The 18,661-nt window shown below is 47.4% G+C and overlaps 1 protein-coding gene across 6 annotated transcripts in view, besides 1 other annotated feature; it reads left to right on the plus strand.

Annotated features, from left to right (window-relative positions):
* The window catches only part of SDK1 (sidekick cell adhesion molecule 1), a 967,749-nt gene that overhangs the window by 943,691 nt on the left and 5,397 nt on the right, over nt 1-18,661 (plus strand). For all 6 annotated transcript variants that reach the window (NM_152744.4, XM_047420038.1, XM_047420037.1 and 3 more), the window contains one exon: nt 734-863. In NM_152744.4, the coding sequence (NP_689957.3) occupies nt 734-863 (130 nt within the window). The remainder of the gene's footprint in view (nt 1-733; nt 864-18,661) is intronic.
* Nucleotides 14,857-16,056: an enhancer, noted in NCBI's record as "BRD4-independent group 4 enhancer chr7:4299431-4300630 (GRCh37/hg19 assembly coordinates)". NCBI's record gives its function as "activates an origin of replication core promoter dependent on BRD2, P300/CBP, MED14 and CDK7 cofactors, and independent of BRD4, by STARR-seq in HCT116 cells {active_cell/tissue: HCT116}" and the evidence as "EXISTENCE:reporter gene assay evidence [ECO:0000049][PMID:35650434]".

Below are 18,661 nucleotides of genomic sequence, written 5' to 3' on the forward strand. Positions count from 1 at the left end.
CAGCAAGAGCATCTCTGTCTCCAGTCCGCCAAGATAGGGTCTCCTAATGTCATGTGATCATGGGCGTGATGGGAGTAGCTGTCCTTCACCCATTCCATTTAATGTAACCGAGTCTTCAGTCTGCCATGTTCCACTGGTTAGAAGCACGTCACAGGCCCTTCCCACATTCAAAGGATGGGATGATGGGGGTGGGGGCAGTGATGGAGCCATCTTAGAATTCCACCAGCCAGAGAGGACGAATGCTCCCCCACCAGACAGGGAGACCAGGCCTGGTGCAAACTTCCCCAATTCCCTCTCATCTGTAGGAGACAATTCCCACTCCTTAGCATGGCAGATCAGACTGTTCCTCATGACTCCATCCTCATCTCTCTCCACTGCACTCCCCTGCCTGCATCTGGCAAGCACCTAAGCTCCCCGGCCTCCTATCTGTCCCGACCTCAGGGTGCTGTTTGTACGTGAGTGTCTCACTGCCCCTCCTGGCACAGACCAGCTCTTCCTCCATGCCTGCAGGCCTAGCACAGTCTCCACAACTGACAGGCACAGGTACACAGAGGCTGTTGACTCACCAGGTAGCCAGTGCTCAGAATTTTTTGCATCAGTTGCCAAAGTGATGTCAAAGGCTGTGGGTTTCCTCTTAGTCCAACGCAATAAAGGCCAAATGCCAGGTTAGGAGTCCTCCGGGGAAGGGCGTCTTTTGCCCAGAGGGTAATTGCAGCATGGGTCCTCATCCTAGGTCCCCACCCCGGCCTAGCCCCGGCGGCCTGCACTACTCAGACGAGGACATCTGCAACAAGTACAACGGCGCCGTGCTGACCGAGAGCGTGAGCCTCAAGGAGAAGTCGGCAGATGCATCAGAATCTGAGGTCAGTGTCGGTGCCTACTTCCGGGCAGTGACCATCAGCCCCTACTTCTGCAGTGAGACTTCTGCCCCCTCAGGCTGTCTTGTCCTATTTGAGTCTCATAACATCCCCACAGGCAGAGCCAAGGACAAAGGGCTTCATTATGCAGATGAGAAAAGAGCCGAAATTCAACCCCACGGCCTGCTCTGGGCCCCGCAGAGCTCACATAGCCTCGAGCAGTCTAGACATTCCAAGGCTGATTCATGGAGGAGCAGGTTGTGACTCCTAAGTCCTGGGATCTGCTTTAGGCCCAGCAGAGCTCACACAGCTTCGAGCAGTCTAGATGCTCCAAGGCTGATTGATGGAAGCGCAGGTTCCGACTCCTAAGTCCCAGAGACTGCAGTGAGAGATAGGCAAGGCTGGTGCCCTCTGTGAGAGGTTTCTTGCAGAGCAGAGTGTGGGTGTTGCCTGGGTGCCAGCAGGCTGAGTGTCAGATGGTCGCTTTCACGTGCTCCATCTCATGTAGTCCCGGGGTAACTGGGCCTAGACCACCTCTTACAGATGGAGCCGGCAGGGCTCAGGGAAGATCAGTAACTTTCCCAGTGTGGACTCCTGCCTCGGAGGCCCATTCTCTCTCCATTTCACTTTCATAGATAAACATAGGCTGCCATAAAAATTGGTGGTCTGTAGACCCCAGTTAGGGTGGCAGCGGGTCTGATCCTGCAGGGCGGATAGAAAATGTGACCCCTTTACCAGATAGGAGCTTCCTGCTCACCCCTGGACATTCGTTTCCCCCTACACCCTGCCAGCCTCCCACCCTGCCCAGGAAGCTTCTGTCCTAGCTCCCTCCCTTGCGCTGAAGAAGAGGGATTTGCTCACAGCAGTTCCAGGTCATGTATCGGGCTCAGGGTGAATCCAGACTTGGGATGTGTTCCTCTCCTCACCAAGCAGCTGGACCAGGGAGATGGCTTCCCCGAGGGAGTGTCAGCCTCCACGCGCTCCCTCCAGGACCCCAGGGCCTACCCGCCTCAGGCCTCCCCTGCGCCTGGGTGTGCAGCAGTTGAGACATGGAGTGTTTTTCCTGTGCCAGGTCCTGTGCGGCGTGACCCAAAGGGACTTTAACCAGCAAGGCAGCCACGAGGGGGCTCTAAGCAGGGGGCTCAACACACCTTCCCTACAGGTGCACCATCTCCGTTTCTCATACTTACCAGCAAAAGCAGCAGAAGCAGCAATTGGAGAGGTTGCCCCTTGGGTCCTGAACTTTTTTCTTTTGGATATGCCAGGCCTGGAGAGGGGTGAAAATCACCAACCATTGGCTGTACACATAGGCCTGCCCCGCCTCCTGGCACTCAGGTTCTAAATCAATATTTAATCTAAAATAAGTCTCACCTTCATTTTAACCTGAATTCAGGCCTTATTGAGCCCCGGGGCTCTATCGAATGGCTTCTTTTCAACTGTGGGTTGTAGATGAACTCCCGGCGGGAAGGGCCAGCAGGTGGGTGTGGTGAGGCCGATTCTGCTTTGCTTTGCGTGTTCTGTTTACAGAGGATGCCGGGTTTGCTGTCCGCACCATAGCCTTGGGCTTGGCAGAAACAGCAGGCAGCAAAGCAGATGCTCGGAAAGGGACATTTGTCTAAAACTCAGGGGCTGTCAAGTGAAATCCTGCAAAACTACCTGCCTTTTTGTGATAAAGAAAAAGCTTATCAGAAGCTCGCTGCATGTACGAAAGCAGCAGGTTGTGCGGAGCAGGCAGCCTTCGAGCAGGACAGTCTGGTCAGCAAAGAGGCTCATCTCACAGCGCCGGCCTCGGGCCTGTCCCTGCTGCCGCTGCCGGGCCGCTGCTCTTTCGAGTATCCAGGCACCGTGGGGGTGTCATAGCTGTGGGTGGTTCCTGTGTGCTGAGCGCTCGCTGCTGTGTGTTTCCAGCACTCACTGTGGGCCTGGCCCAGGGTGAACGTGCACTCCTCTGCTGCCCACCCCAGCCCCATGAGGTGGGGCCAGTCTCCTTATTGGTCAGAGGCTGAGGTTGTCCAGCAGGCGGCTGTTGAAGCTGACACCCAGCCAGACCCCCGTGTCTCCAGAGCTCAGTGTACCCCTTCCCTCCCCATTGGTCTCCTCCAGCCCCACACCAGAGGAAGGGGAGGGAGGCATCCAGGGATGGTGTGTCCTAGAGCAGGCGGGCAGGATTGGATCTGTGAACTCTGAATATTTGTTCCTAAAAGCATTTTCAACATGGGCTAATGGAACGCATTTGGTCTGTTTCTCCCCCCAACATATGTGGCGTGTTTGGAGATTTAACATCGGCAAATGTTTATGGAAGATTATTGAGCACACCCGTGAACTGAGCTAAGCATATACATTCACGTATGCATGCACACATGAACACATATGTACATGTACACACATGTGCACGGACACATACACACCTGAATACATGCACACACCTGCATACACACATGCATACCTAAATAGAACACACAACACACACACCTAAATACACACACACGCACACATATCTATACATACACACATGCACACACATATACATATACACCTGAATACATGCACACACACGTTTACCTAAATACAACATACACCTAAATACACATATGCACACATATGTACACATACACACATGCACACACGTATACCTATACACCTGAATACATGCACACATGCATACACACGTGCTTACCTAAATACACACAACATATACACACCTAAATACACATATGCACACATACGTACACATACACACATGCAAACACATACATATACCTATACACCTGAATACATGCACACACATGCATACTTAAATACACACAAACATGCACATACCTAAATACACACACATGTACACATACCTGTGCACATGTACAAATAACTACACACCTGAATACATGCACACACATACATGCACACATGTACACACACGCACACGCACATACCCAAATATGTACATGCAAAAATTTGCATGTGCACACATACATCATATACTCATACATATACCTACATACCTAAACACATGCACACAGGCACATGGCTCACACATACTACATGCATGTACGCATGCATATATACACGTGCATGCATACCTAAATACAAGTACAAGCACACATGCATACCACCATGCACACATACACATATGTACATACATGCACAACACATACATACCTAAATACACACATACACATATGTACATACATGCACAACACATACATACCTAAATACACACATGCACACATGCCTGCACATATGCATATACACCTAAATACAAACACATACACAGAGGTGGCCTCAGGGAGGGAGGTGAGTGTGGGGAGGGAGGGAGGTGAGTGTGGGGATAGGGGAAGAAGGGTGGAGGGCAGGACATGGAACCCACACTAAATGGAATTCTGCACAGAGGGTGTTATCATCCTTATGTAACAGGCAGAAAGCCGAGACTGAGAGTTTTTGAATGTCTTCCCTGAGACACGCACTGATGAGCTGGACTGGAGAGGCAGACCTCAGCATCTAACTGGAAATCCCACCTTCCCACCAGTCCTGCTCTCAGAGCTGAGTCTCAGGCAGCGTGGCTGAGGTGGCAAGGGGCCTGGGAACCAGGCCACACTGCTCCCACATGGCAAGCCCTGTGCTGGAGGAAAGCGTTCCTGCAAATGCACCTCATGGTTCCTAGTGCCTTTTGGGTGACAGGCTGCTTCTGGAGGCTGATGAAAGGTGCAGACATGCTCTCCACCTACATACAGGCAGAATTTCACCTAGGATTTGGGGGCCCAAGGCACCCCGGAAGTCTCTTACAGACCCCACCAGCTAGCATCCCATAGAGTCCCAGCTAAGAATCCCCACACCTGGACCATCCTGTGCTCCCCAGGTTTTTGAGTGGATAAAGCGTAGCCTCCCTTGTCTGTAGAGCTCTTTGCTAGGTAACCTTGCTGCATCCTGCTTTTGAAGCTTATGAATTTGGGGGATTTGAAGGCACTCCATATTCATGGGATCCCAACAGAGGGAACCGGGGACTTAGATCGTTTTGGAAGTGCCAGCTCACATGGTAACATTCACTTTGAACCACTGTTTGAAACAGCTGGATTAAGACCTAACTCACATGTCATACAATTCACTCATTTGAAGTACACAATTCAGTGGGTTTCAGTACATTCACAGAGTTGTGCAGCCATCACCACAGTCAATTTTAGAACATTTCCATCAGCCCCCAAAACACCCTGTACCGATTAGCAGTCACTCCTCAATCTCCCCAAACCACCCACATACACCTGCAGCCAACCCCAGCTCTTGGCAACCAGTAAGCTACTTTCTACCTCTCTAGGTGTGCCTATGTGGACATTTCATCTAAATAAATCGTACAGTATGATGTCTTTTGTGACTGGCTTCTTTCCCTTAGCATGATGATTGCAACGCATTTGAACCACTTTTACGAAGTAATCAATTTGTGTGTTTCATCAGTTCTCTTTCACATTGTTTGTTTTAAAATCTGACTTCAGAACTTCTCCCTTTATAGGAAACAAACATGTTGTATTTTGCCCATGTGGTTTCTTGGAACAGAAGTGTAATTTTTTTTTTTTTAGATGGAGTTTTGCTCTGTCGCTCAGGCTGGAGTGCAGTGGCATGATCTCAGCTCCCTCTAACCTCCGCCTCCTGGGTTCAAGCAATTCTCATGCCTCGGCTTCCCAAGTAGCTGGGATTACAGGCACCTGACACTATGCCCAGCTGATTTTTGGTATTTTTATTAGAGACAGGGTTTTGCCATATTGGCCAGGCTGGTCTCGAACTCCTGACCTCAAGTGATCCGCCCACCTCGGCCTCCCAAAATGCTGGGATTACAGGCATGAGCCACTGTGCCCGGCCAGGAAGTGTATTTTTCTGTGTAGGGTCTAACGGAACACAGGCCAAATGTCACAAGGGGATTTGGAAAGGCTGCCATCTTGACAATTATGTCCCTCCTAGTCCCCAACCCCACTCTAGTCAGAATCTTCTTTTTAAAAAATGCTTTATTGAGTTATAATTCATATATCATATAATTTGCCCATTTAGAATATACGATTCAATGGTTTTTAGTATTTTCAGTTTTTGCAATCATCCCCACAATTTTGGAACTTTTTCATCGCTCTAAAAAGAAACCCCATAACTCTACCAGTCACCTCCCATTCCCTTCTCCCTCCAAACCCTGGCAGCCACTTTCTGTCTCTATAGATTTGCCTATCCTGAGCATTTCATATAACAGACTCATGCAATATGTGGTTTTGTGATTGGCTTATTTCATTCAGCATAATGTTTTCAGAGTTCATCAGGGTCACTGATATATGTTGTAGCACATATCAGTACTTCATTTCTATATTATATGGGGGGAAATTCCATTGTATGGATATACCACATTTAAAAATGCATTCATCAGTTGATGAACATTTGAGTTTGTTGTGTCTGGGATCCCCAAGAGCACTCCCAAGTTCAGTGATTCACTAGAAGGACTCACAGAATTCAGCACACAACATCCTCATGACTAAGATTTATTACAGCAAAAGAATACAGAGCAAAATCACAAAGGGAAAATGTGCACAGAGCAAAGTCCAGAGGAGACCAGATTCACGCTTCTAAGAGTCTTCTCCTATAGAGGCACACAGAACACACTTAGTCCTCCACCAGAGAGCTGTGAGGACACATAGGAATTGTTGTCTACCACGGCTTTACCATAGCCTTGCACTTATAGCAAACTGCAACTGCATTGTAGGTACTGCTGATTAGAAACTCACTGCCCAGGGTTTTTATCGGAAGCTGGTCACATAGGCATCCTCTGCCAAGCATGTACCAAAACTCCAGACTCCAGAAAGAAAGCAGGTGTTTGGCATAAACCATATTATTTGTACAGTTTAGACACTGCAGTCTTATAATTTAGGGAAAACATTTTATCAATGAAAGGAACTTTTTACCAGTCAAGTTCCCAGATGCCAACCAAGGGTAATCTTTGAAAGCAGGTCTTTTTAAGGCTAGTGGTCTCAGACCTGCTCTGTTAACTTTCTTCCACACCAGATTGTTTCTACTTTTTGGTTACTGTGAACAATATTCCCTTTATCTGGTTGAGTTTGGTGAGTGTTTTTATTATCGAAAGGTTTGGAGTTTTGTCAGATGGTTTCTCTGTGTCTGTCTGGATGTTTTTTGTCCTTTGTTCTATTTATATGGTACATTACATTAACTAATGTTTGGATGTTAAACCAACCTTGCATTCCTGCAATAAATGCCCATTGTTCATAGTGTATAATCCTTTCTCTTTTTTTTATTATACGTTAAGTTTTAGGGTACATGTGCACAACGTGCAGGTTTGTTACATATATATACATGTGCCATGTTGGTGTGCTGCACCCATTAACTTGTCATTTAACATTAGGTATATCTCCTAATGCTATCCCTCCCACCTCCCCCCACCCCACAACAGGCCCCAGTGTGTGATGTTCCCCTTCCTGTGTCCATGTGTGCTCATTGTTCAATTCCCACCTATGAGTGAGAACATGCGGTGTTTGGTTTTTTGTCCTTGCGATAGTTTGCTGAGAATGATGGTTTCCAGCTTCATCCATGACCCTACAAAGGACATGAATTCATCATTTTTTATGGCTGCATAGTATTCCATGGTGTATATGTGCCACATTTTCTTAATCCAGTCTATCATTGTTGGACATTTGGGTTGGTTCCAAGTCTTTGCTATTGTAAATAGTGCCGCAATAAACATACGTGTGTATAATCCTTTCTATATGTTGCTGGATTCAGTTTTCAATATTGCTGAGCATTTTTGTATCTATACTTATAAGGGATATAGGTCTGTAGTTTACTTGTCTTATTTATCTTTGTGTGATTTTTATGTAGGGTAATATTGGCCTTATTGAATGATTTGGGAAGTATTTCTTCCACAACTGGTATTAATTCTTTAAATGTTTGATAGATTTCATCAGTGAAGTCCTCTGGTCTCGGGCTTTTGTGTGTGGGAAATTGTTAATTACTAGTTCTATCTGTTTATTGGCTATAGATTTATTCCGTTTCCCCCCCCCTCTTTTTTTTTTTGTTAAGTCAGTGTCACTCATTTGTGTCTTTCTAAGGATTTTTAATGCTACCTCATTAATCTAATTTATTAAGATACAGTTGCTTATAGTTGTGTACAGTTGTTTATAATCCTTCATTTCTGTAAAGGCAGTGGTAATTAATATCAATAATTCATTCCTGATTTTAATAATTTGAGTCCTCTCTCCTATTTCTGGTTAAAGTTTTGTCAATTTTGTTCATCTTTGCAAAGAACCAACTTGTAGTTTGATTGATTTTCTCTATTATTTTTCTACTTTCTATTTCATTTATTTCTACTCTAATCTTTATGACTTTCTTCTGCTTAATTTGGAGTTAATTTGCTCGTCTTCTTTCAATTTCCTAAGTTGGAAGTTTATGTTGTTGATTTGAGATCTTTCTTTTTTTGTAAATACAGGACTTTATGGCTAAAAATTCCCCTCTAAGCACTGTGTTAGCTGAATCTCATAAGTTTTAATATGTTGTGTTTTTGTTTTCACTCATCTCAAAATATTTTTTTAATTTTCTGTGTAATTTCTTCTTTGACACATTCGTTATTTAGGAGTGTGTTTTACATTTCCTCATATTTGTGAATTTCCCACATTTTCTTCTGTTATTTATTTCTAATTATATCCTATTTTGGTCAGAGAAACCATAATTTATATATTTTCAGTCCTTTAAAATTCATTGGGTCTTATTTTAAGGCCTGGCCTATGGTCTATACTGGAGAATGTTTCCTATCCACTTGAGAAGAATGTGTTATTCTGCTGTTTTGGGGTGGAGTGTTCTGTATGTGTCTGTAGGTCTAGCTGATTTATCATGTTGTTTCCATCTTCTGTATGTATGATCTTCTTCCCAGTTCTGCCATTTGTCAGTGCATTGAAATCTCTATTTGTATTGAATTGTCTGTGTCTCCCTTCAAATCTATTCATTTAATTTCATGTATTTTGAGGCTCTGTTAGGTGCATGTGTGTTTATAGTTATATCTTCTTGATATATTTACCATTTTATCAGATATTTGCTTTCTAATAAAGATATGTCTCGTATCTTTATTCCCTATTTTCCACTATCAGCTTCTTTTTGTTAAATGAATTTTCCAAATATATCATTTTGATTTCCTTGTTTTTGCTTTTGCTCTATATTTTTGGATATTTTTGTTAGTGTCTTACTCTAGTATTATTATCTACCTCAGATTTATAGTACATTTTCATAACTTATGGGAACTTTACTCCTATAGCTGTATTTCTTCCTTTTCTTTTTGTGCTATTACTATACATATTTTACCGGTAGATTAATGATTTTTATCAAATTTGGGAAACTTTAAGTCATTATTACTTTGAGTGTTTTTGTTTTTGTTTTTGTTTTTGTTTTTTTGCTTTTTTCTCTTTCTCCTCTCATTCTGATATTCTTATTATACGTATGTTGGTGCTGTTAGTGCTGTCTTATATTTATCAAAGGCTCTGTCCATTTTTAAAAGTCTTTTCTTCAGACTGCGTAATCTCTATCAATCTATCTTTAAGTGAACTGATTCTTTCTTCTGCCAGCTCAAGTCTACTATTGAGCCTATCTAATGAATTTTAAATTTCAGTTATTGTATTTTTCAACTCAAGAACTTCCCATTTGTGTTTTTAAAATAATTTCTATCACTTTATTGATATTCTTCAATTGTCATCATACCTTTAATTTTTTAAACATGGTCTCCTTTAGTTCTTTGAACATAATTATAATAGCTACCTTTGAAGTCTTTGCCTGCTTAGTCCAATGTTTGGGCACCCTCAGAAGCTACCTTCTTTTTTTTTTTTTTTCCTGTGTATGCATTATACTTTCCTGGGTTTTTTTGAAAACAGATCATTTTTGGTCATATATTGCAGCAACTCTGAATAATGATATTCATGCCTCATTGAGGGTTATTGTTGCTTGCTTGTTTGTTCAGTGATTTGGCTAGATTCATTCAGTGAAGTCCATTTCCCCTGCACTGTGTGTGCTCTCATGTTGCTCCTCAGTCTTGGGCAATGCATAGAGTCTTGCTGCCTACCAGGGATGACTGTGGTTTTAGCTGGGCTCCCTTTGCCTGTCCCCATTAAGATTCTGGATGGTTTACCATGATTGGCGTCATACCCAGCAGTTAACCTCCACTACGTGCTAGCTCTGGTTTTCTCAGCAATGCCTTAGTGCATAGATTGCTCCTCACTTTCTGATCCAGTTGAAGTCCAGCCTTTCTGCAGTTGCCAGATGCTGTCAGTCTTTGAAGCTTGCTCTGACACTAAGAGGCCTCTTCTTAGCTTCAGAAGTCTCTTTTCCTGGTTCTGTCTTTCAAACTGCTAGCTGGTTTTACCGCTTCCATTGTTGCTGACATGGAACTACCAGCTTCCTCTTCATTCCTCACCTCCAAAGCCTCCACAGTTTTCAACAATGTCCTTAGGTATGCTCTGTTCCAAATAAAGTCATTTTCCTCAGTCAGAGCTGGAAGCTCTCTGTTCTTACAGAATAACTCTCCACTCTGCGCAGGACCTCTGTGTCACTGCATCAAAGTGGAGGTGAGGACAATAGCCTTCTTCTTCCATAGTGACACACCCGCTACACAAGTGGGGCACTGGGTTGAGAGGGCAGTCCCTGGACTTTTGGGCCTGCTCCTCCCAGCGTGGGACTTCTTCCTACAAACAAGCTGGGGTGGGAGCACTCGGGGCCCAGTATTCTTGGCGTACCATACCTGGTACAGGCTCCCAGCTTACAAGCAAAGGCTGGATGCGGGACAGGAGCCCCAGTACTCTTGGCCATCTCTGCCTAGAATAGAGCTTCTTCAACATGGAGTTGGGTTGGGGGAAAGGGGAAGCTGGATAAGAGATGCCAGAACTTTCCTCTCCAAGTTAAATTCCTAAACCAGCAGCCCTGCCTTGTTGCCACATCTGCCCAGGGTGGAATTTCTGTCACACTGAGCTGGGGGAATTGGATAGGGAGAGCAGGTCATGGCTCAAGCACCACAGACTCTCACTATCGAGTGAGATTTAGCGCAGATCTTGTATCAATCTATCTTTCTCCATTTGCTATCTACTCTGAGCACCATTTCCAAATACTTTTTTTTTTTTTTTTTTTTTTTGAGAGGGAGTCTTGCTCTGTCACCCGGGCTGGAGTGCAGTGGTGCGATCTCAGCTCACTGCAACCTCTGCCTTCTCAGTTCAAACAATTCTCCCACCTCAGCCTCCCAAGTAGCTGTGATCACAGGTGTGCGCCACCACACCCAGCTAATTTTTGTATTTTTAGTAGAGACGGGGTTTCGCCATGTTGGCCAGGCTGGTCTCGAACTCCTGACCTCAAGTGATCCGCCTGCCTGGTCCTGTCAGAAGGCTGGGATTACAGGCGTGAGCCACTGCACCCAGCCTTCAGAGATTTTAGATGGTTATTTATAAAATACTTTTCACCAGTTAAATCATTGTTCCGCTGGGGAGAGGGTCTGCTGACCTCCTCACATTGCCATTCCAGAAATATCCTGGCCTTCATGGCTAGTAACTCTGATATTCAGAGGGGACTGGGAAGAAATGTGGGCTTTGGCCTGGTGCCTTAACTCCAAGTTTACAGAAACGGAATCCAGTCCCAGAACTGCAGAAAAGGCTGTTAGAGAAGAAAGCATTGCAGGGAAAGCAGACCGAGGGTTGCTCAGCAATGGAATAAACCCAAAAGCTGTAGCATTGGTTTTCAAATAGGACTATCAAAAAAGTGGCTTGGATTTCGACGAGGGTTTAAGACGTTTATCCTCTCTACTGGAGACAGCTTGTAGATTTGAGTACAATATAAACCGAAATGTTGGGAATAAAGAGTAATGTACGTCCTCGGCCCTGGCTTCAAGCCAGTGTTTTGACACAGCATTTTTGTTGGTGAAAGCCGTGGACAGAGGCAGGCTTCTGCTCACCGTCTTCTCCAGGGCCCAGGGGATAAGGAGTGAGAAGCCCTTTGTGGTCTCTGCTAGAAAAACTCTCCTGAGAAGCGAAGATTTCACTAAGAAAACAGTGAGGCCATCCTTTTATCCCCCAGGACATTTTTAAACCACTCTCAGAACTATTGCTAAAGTGAAAATTCTGCAGATCCGTTCCCAGGTGCTCAGGAGCCTTCCTGATCGGAGGTGCTCCTCTGAATTATGTCCTAAGTGTCACACGACGCATGCTGTGGCTATTTCTGTTTTTCTGTTTAGAAACAAGAGGGTTTGTCACGGTTTTATCACATGGCTGCTTCTGAATGATATCTGCCGTTCAAATCACATGTTAAAGATTGTTTTCGAAATCCAAAGAAACTGTTTTCAAAATCCCTCCTGCTCCCACCAGCTTAGACCAACCCCATCGTACCCAATTAATTCCTTAATAATATTTGAGTCTTTCATCTTGCCAACGTAATACCCAAAGTGTTGAGATTATCTTTATTAGCTGCTTTCCAGGCGTCTGTGCACCTTTAGAAACTCTCGCAGTCGGTCTGATACTGCATCCAATCACTTTCTGTCCTTCTACAGTTTCCCGGGAAACCGACACACGTTGCTACTTCACATCACACAGGAAACTTACCAAAAACAGACTCTGCAGCATTTCCATTTTGTCAATAATTCTAACTCACTAAAATACATCCCCATTAAAAAATAATAATGTCATATAAATAATAAACAGAGCAGGCAGCAGGAGGAAGAATGACATTTTAAGATTGTGCTTTCTCAAAGAGGCAATGACAGGGGCTGAGCAGGAGCCAGGAAACCCAGCTTTTAGCTTCAGCTCTGCCTGACATTTATTGGTCATGTGGCTCTGGGTGTATTCTCACTTCTCCTCCCTAAATAGCAAGAAGGAAAAGCCTCTTGGAGCCTCGTGTCTCTGCTTCTTTCTGTACAATGGTTATGTTCTGTCCGATTAGCTGTTATTATAGAATCACCTGGCTGGGTCTGTGGGCACTGGCCACTCAGAACTCACGGCCTCCCAGCTTTCCTCCCCAGAACAAAGCACTCTTCCCTTCCAGCTGCATTGTGAAAAATCCCAAGGCAAGACTCTGATTGGCTGAGCTGAAGCCACATGCCCAGCTATTAGCCAATCACGGTTTTCTGAGAGGCAAGCTAGCCTATCCATGTGGTGGGGAAGAACTGCTTCCTTCAAAGAAGGGGTTGAGGCCTAGACACAAACAACAGGAATCACTGCGAGTTGGACGACCAAGCACTCCCAATTTGTGTCTCCCGCCAGGCCCCCTTCTTGGCACCCACATGTGTCACAGACCCTTCTCTTGAGACTACAGGACTTTTAGATCTTTGGCTGAGGAAACATCAGGATACATAGCAACATATATACAAGCCGTGAAGGAAATGGTATAAACACGCAGATGGGTGTGGGCCATGTGCTACACTCATTCTCTAAGCAGTTCTGGACATGCTCTTGGAAATGTGGACTCCAGTGAGAGCTCAGCAGTCCCTTCCGAACCACCCCTAGGCCCCACCCAGTGTGAACCCTGCTTCCCTACAGCCTGGCAGCTGCAGGAGGAGGGGTGGGCAGGGGTGTACACAGGGCAGAGAGATGCCCAAAGGGTCACCGAGTGGGTGCAAGACAGACTAACTGAATTCGTAGCATGCCCTCCCACTGAAATTGCTGATTTCCCCACCATGCAGAGACGCTTTCCATATAAGACTCACCCATATAAATAGCGTTTCTCTATCTTTTCTACAACTGGGGTTGAAGGTATCTCCTCCCTGCTACTAAAAGGACTTTATTTCTGCCACCTTTGGCTGAGAAACCAGGCTGGTTTTGGCCCCGGTCTGGCCCCGGCCAGTATGACCCTAAGAAGGTCACTTGCATTTGTGGATGTTGATTGTTTCAGACCCAAGACGAGGAAATTGAATCCAGTCACCACTTCTCTCGTTTTTCCCCACTAGGATCCCTTGTGGTAGGGAAGTTGAATGGGGAAGACCCCCGGGACCTGGGAATATAGTCAAAAGAGGGTGAAAGTCTTGAACCTCATATTTGACCTTCAGATGATAATGAACCCTAACCCCAGTTTGTGAAACCTAGCACTAAATTTCTGTCATTCGTTCCTAAATATTCTGTGAATTTCTCGTGAGAAAAGTGATTCCTTCACTATATTTCAATACATGTGATTTTCCCTAAGTTTCAGGAAGTTTAGATTCCAAGTTGGTCTCTAAAGAAGTAACAAACCCAATTCAGGGGCTAATCATGGAGATTCCTTTGGCTTCCTTCAGATGATCTTTGTTCTCTTTTCTTCCGTTTTAGTTTACGCAGAGCTTAACCTTGTAAGCCACCTCAAGGCCCCTAGAAAACAGATGAAGAATAAATCTTAAACAGGCCAGGTGCAGGGGCTCACACCTGTAATCTCGGCACTTTGGGAGGCCGAGGTGGGCAAATCAGCTGAGGTCAGGAGTTCGAGACCAGCCTGGCCAACACGGTGAAACCCCATCTCTACTAAAAATACAAAAATTAGCCAGGTGTGGTGGCGGGCACCTGTAATCCCAGATAGGAGGCTGAGGCACGAGAATAGCTTGAACCCAGGAGGCAGAGGTTACAGTGAGCCAAGATCGTACCACTGCACTCTAGCCTGGGCTACAAGAGTGAAACTCTGTCTCAAAAATAAATAAATAAATCTTAAACAGCCACAAATACAGATCCCTGATCTCTTAGCTGAAACCCTTGAGGCTAGATATATTTAAGAATCCAGTGTTTCTCAAGTTTGGGAGTACATCATATATTAGGGAACTGCTCCAGTAGGGCCGGGCCAGCGCTTGGCGACCAAACACATTGGTCTTCTTGTAGCAGAATATGAGAATATTCACACTGAATAGCCCTACATCAGCTCACCTAGGGGTAAGCTGCCAGGTTAGCTCAAGTCAGCTCAGCCTTCGCCACCAAATGAGTTATAAAAAAACCTTTTGAGTTTCAGAGCGTTGTGGGTTTTGGAATTTGGAATGGAGGGTTGTACACCTGTTGCGCGGATCCTAGAGAGAAGCCTGGAACTAGGAGGAAGTTACAGGATCTGCGGAGGTGGGTGAACCCGAGGGGTTGGGGAGCTCAGGTGCAGGCTCCCACCCAGCCTCTCTCGCTGAGCCTTGCTTCTTTATTCATAAAGTGGGAATTGTAACATCTGCATCATAGGATCCTCAGCCAGTTGCAGAGATCATGCCCGGGCATTAATCTGGTATGTAATCGGTGTTCCCGAAAAAGGAGCCACTGCCACGTTTATCATCGTCACCCGATGAAGGAGAAGCTGGCTGCTCTGGGGTCTCTGTGTGTGTGGGAAGATGTGTTCATCGTCACCTGATGGAGAAGCTGGCTGCTCCGGGGTCTCTGTGTGTGTGGGAAGATGTGTTCATCGTCACCTGATGGAGAAGCTGGCTGCTCCGGGGCCTCTGTGTGTGTGGGAAGATGTGTTCATCGTCACCTGATGGAGAAGCTGGCTGCTCCAGGGCCTCGGTGTGTGTGGGAAGATGTGTTCATCGTCACCTGATGGAGAAGCTGGCTGCTCCGGGGCCTCGGTGTGTGTGGGAAGATGTGTTCATCGTCACCTGATGGAGAAGCTGGCTGCTCCGGGGCCTCGGTGTGTGTGGGAAGTTGTGTTCATCGTCACCTGATGGAGAAGCTGGCTGCTCCGGGGTCTCTGTGTGTGTGGGAAGATGTGTTCATCGTCACCTGATGGAGAAGCTGGCTGCTCCGGGGTCTCTGTGTGTGGGAAGATGTGTTCATCGTCACCTGATGGAGAAGCTGGCTGCTCCGGGGCCTCTGTGTGTGTGGGAAGATGTGTTCATCGTCACCTGATGGAGAAGCTGGCTGCTCCGGGGTCTCTGGGTGTGTGGGAAGATGTGTTCATCGTCACCTGATAGGGAAGCTGGCTGCTCCAGGGTCTCTGCGTGTGTGGGAGGATGTGTTCATCGTCACCTGATGGAGAAGCTGGCTGCTCCGGGGTCTCTGTGTGTGTGGGAAGATGTGTTCATCGTCACCTGATGGAGAAGCTGGCTGCTCCGGGGTCTCTGCATGTGTGGGAGGATGTGTTCATCGTCACCTGATGGAGAAGCTGGCTGCTCCGGGGTCTCGGTGTGTGTGGGAAGATGTGTCTTACGTCTGCAATTCTCCTAAATGCAGAGGAGCCACAGATGGATTCAGCTGTTCTGTGTATTGTACCATAAGCCAAACAGTTTATACTTAATGTTCGGAGAAGTCCCAAATCTGTGACTCGCTGTTAGTTTCATGTAAATATTCCAGTTTGAGGTAGATTTTCAGCCTGTGTCCCCAAATCCCAGGAACCTCTGGCTCCCTGCTACGCCTCCATGGGGTTTCTGCACAGCCTGGAGGCTGACCACTCTCACAGGGCTCCGGGACAGATCCAAGTCCCTAGGTGCCGGACGGTGTCGGCTCATGGATCAGAGCTTCCTGCCCGGGTGCTGATGTGGGTAATTCACTCTGACTCTCAGATGAGGGAGCAGCTGGCAGGAACATCACTCACCGCACCCAGGGACGCTTTTGTTTTCCTGGGTCTCAGTGTGGACCTCCTGCAAAATTAGGGGAGCTGGCAACTCTCCCATCCCCTGCCCACCCCCGCCTCCAGCTGCAAGGACGCAGCTCACACACCCTGGGGAAACCGGATTGGCAGTTTTCCTTCTAGAGTGTTTACTTCTGAAAGAGCTGCTGTGGCTGGCAATGGGGCCCACATCTGGGGCCACAGCCGTCTGTCTTAACACCCACAAGGCGCAGCTCCTAGCCTGGCCGCTGATGGGAATCCTCAGAGAGCCTGTAAAAGAATGCACATTCCCCGGCCTCCGACAGACCCACAGAGTCAGGATAGCTGGAGCCACTCCCAGGAATCTGCTGCCTCGATACACAGCTGATGATCCTCAGATGGCATTTCAAGGCCGCTCACTCTTTTACCCCCTCCCCAGTTCCCTTGATACCCTCTGGGGAGAGGAAAAGGTCAGGTCTGCCTGACCCCTGTGAGAGACGGGGGCCCTGGGAAGCGTCTTAGCGTTAGTTCCGCAGCAGCGCCTTGGTCTCTGTGCCACCAGGTGGATCCCCTAGGAGCCTGGGAAGCTGTTAGGACGCACAGGTGAGGGTCCCAGGATGCTTCCATGCATCGGGAGGATGTGGCACTTATCAGCAAAACCGAGAAACCTCCACCTTCTTAGGGGAAAAAAAAATCAATTTCACCCTCTGCTTTCTCCTTTTTTTTTTTTTTTTTTTTTTTTTTTTTGAGATGGAGTCTGGCTCTGTCACCCAGGCTGGAGTGCAGTGGCGAGATCTCGGCTCACTGCAACCTCAAGAATCCCTTGAACCCGGGTTCAAGGGATTCTCCTGCCTCAGCCTCCCAAGTAGCTGGTATTACAGGCACCCACCACCATGCCCAGCTAATTTTTGTATTTTTAGCAGAGACAGGTTTCACCGTGTTGGACAGGCTGGTCTCGAACTCCTGACCTCAGGTGATCTGCCGACCTCAGGTGATCCGCTCGCCTCAGCCACCCAAAGTCCACTTTCTCCTTTAACGGTCCTTCCAATGACTTCACATCAAACCGAAAGACCATAAAATAGAGGTTTGCTTTCAGAAAATGAACCTAGAAAACATGCAGGGTCCATGTTCTTAATGGAAGCTGCTGATTTATTTTATAAAAAGGAAAAAAAAAAGCCTCAAAGGGACTGATCTTCAAACATCAGTGGGAGGCCTCAGGCCACTTTTCCGTGTGTTTGAGGGGCCAGGCCATTCAGTACCTGGCCGGGGAGACATATTAGACACCCTGGCTTATTCAGGCAGCTTCATTTCTCCGTCCCCTCCCCACCCTCGGAGGTCTCTGTGGATGTGATGTCACACGATCACTTGCAAGGGGAGGATGCACCCCCCAATCCTCTCCCCTCATCACCTCCCCCATCCCCTCCCTTCTACTTAATCACACCCCACCCCCTCCCCTCCCCTCTACCTCATCACCTCCACCCCCTCTCCTCCCCTCCCTTCTACCTCATCACCCCCTACCCCTCCCCTCCCCTCTACCTAATCACCTCCCCACCCCCTCCCCTCCCTTCTACCTCATCACCCCCACCCCCTCTCCTCCCCTCCCCTCTACCTCATCACCCCCCACCCCCTCCCCTCCCTTCTACCTCATCACCCACCACCCCCTTCCCTCCCCGCCACCTCATCACCCCCCACACCCACCCTCCCCTCTACCTCATCACCTCCCCACCCCTCACCTCCACCTCATCACCCCCCACCCCCTCCCCTCCCCTCCCTTCTACCTCATCACCCCCCACCCCTTCCCTCCCCTCCACCTCATCACCCCCACACCCACCCTCCCTGCTACCTCATCACCCCCCCACCCCCTCCTTCCCCTCTACCTCATCACCTTGCCCACCCGCTTCCCTGTACCTGGTCACCTCCAGAATCCTTTTGTTTTGGTCTGTAGCAGCCCACATCTTAGTCTCAGGCAAGCCAAAGACCCAGATCTTCCCCACCCCTGGGGCTCTTCTATGTTCTGCCCTGTAGGGGCAGGCAGAGTCCCCTGGGGCCTGTGTGGGGAGGCTGCGTAGACCTCTGCTGGGTGGGGAGGCCACCTAGATCTTTGCTGGGGTGGGAAGGCTGTGTAGACCTCTCCTGAGTGGGGAGGCCGCGTAGACCTCTCTTGAGTGAGGGAGTCCGCGTAGATCTCTCCTGAGTGGGGAGGCCACGTAGACCTCTCCTGAGTGGGGAGGCCGCGTAGACGCCTCCTGAGTGGGGAGGCCGCGTAGACCTCTCCTGAGTGAGGGAGGCCGCGTAGACCTCTC

This window comes from Homo sapiens, chromosome 7, assembly GCF_000001405.40.
Source record: "Homo sapiens chromosome 7, GRCh38.p14 Primary Assembly".
In the NCBI taxonomy this organism is placed as follows: domain Eukaryota; kingdom Metazoa; phylum Chordata; class Mammalia; order Primates; family Hominidae; genus Homo; species Homo sapiens.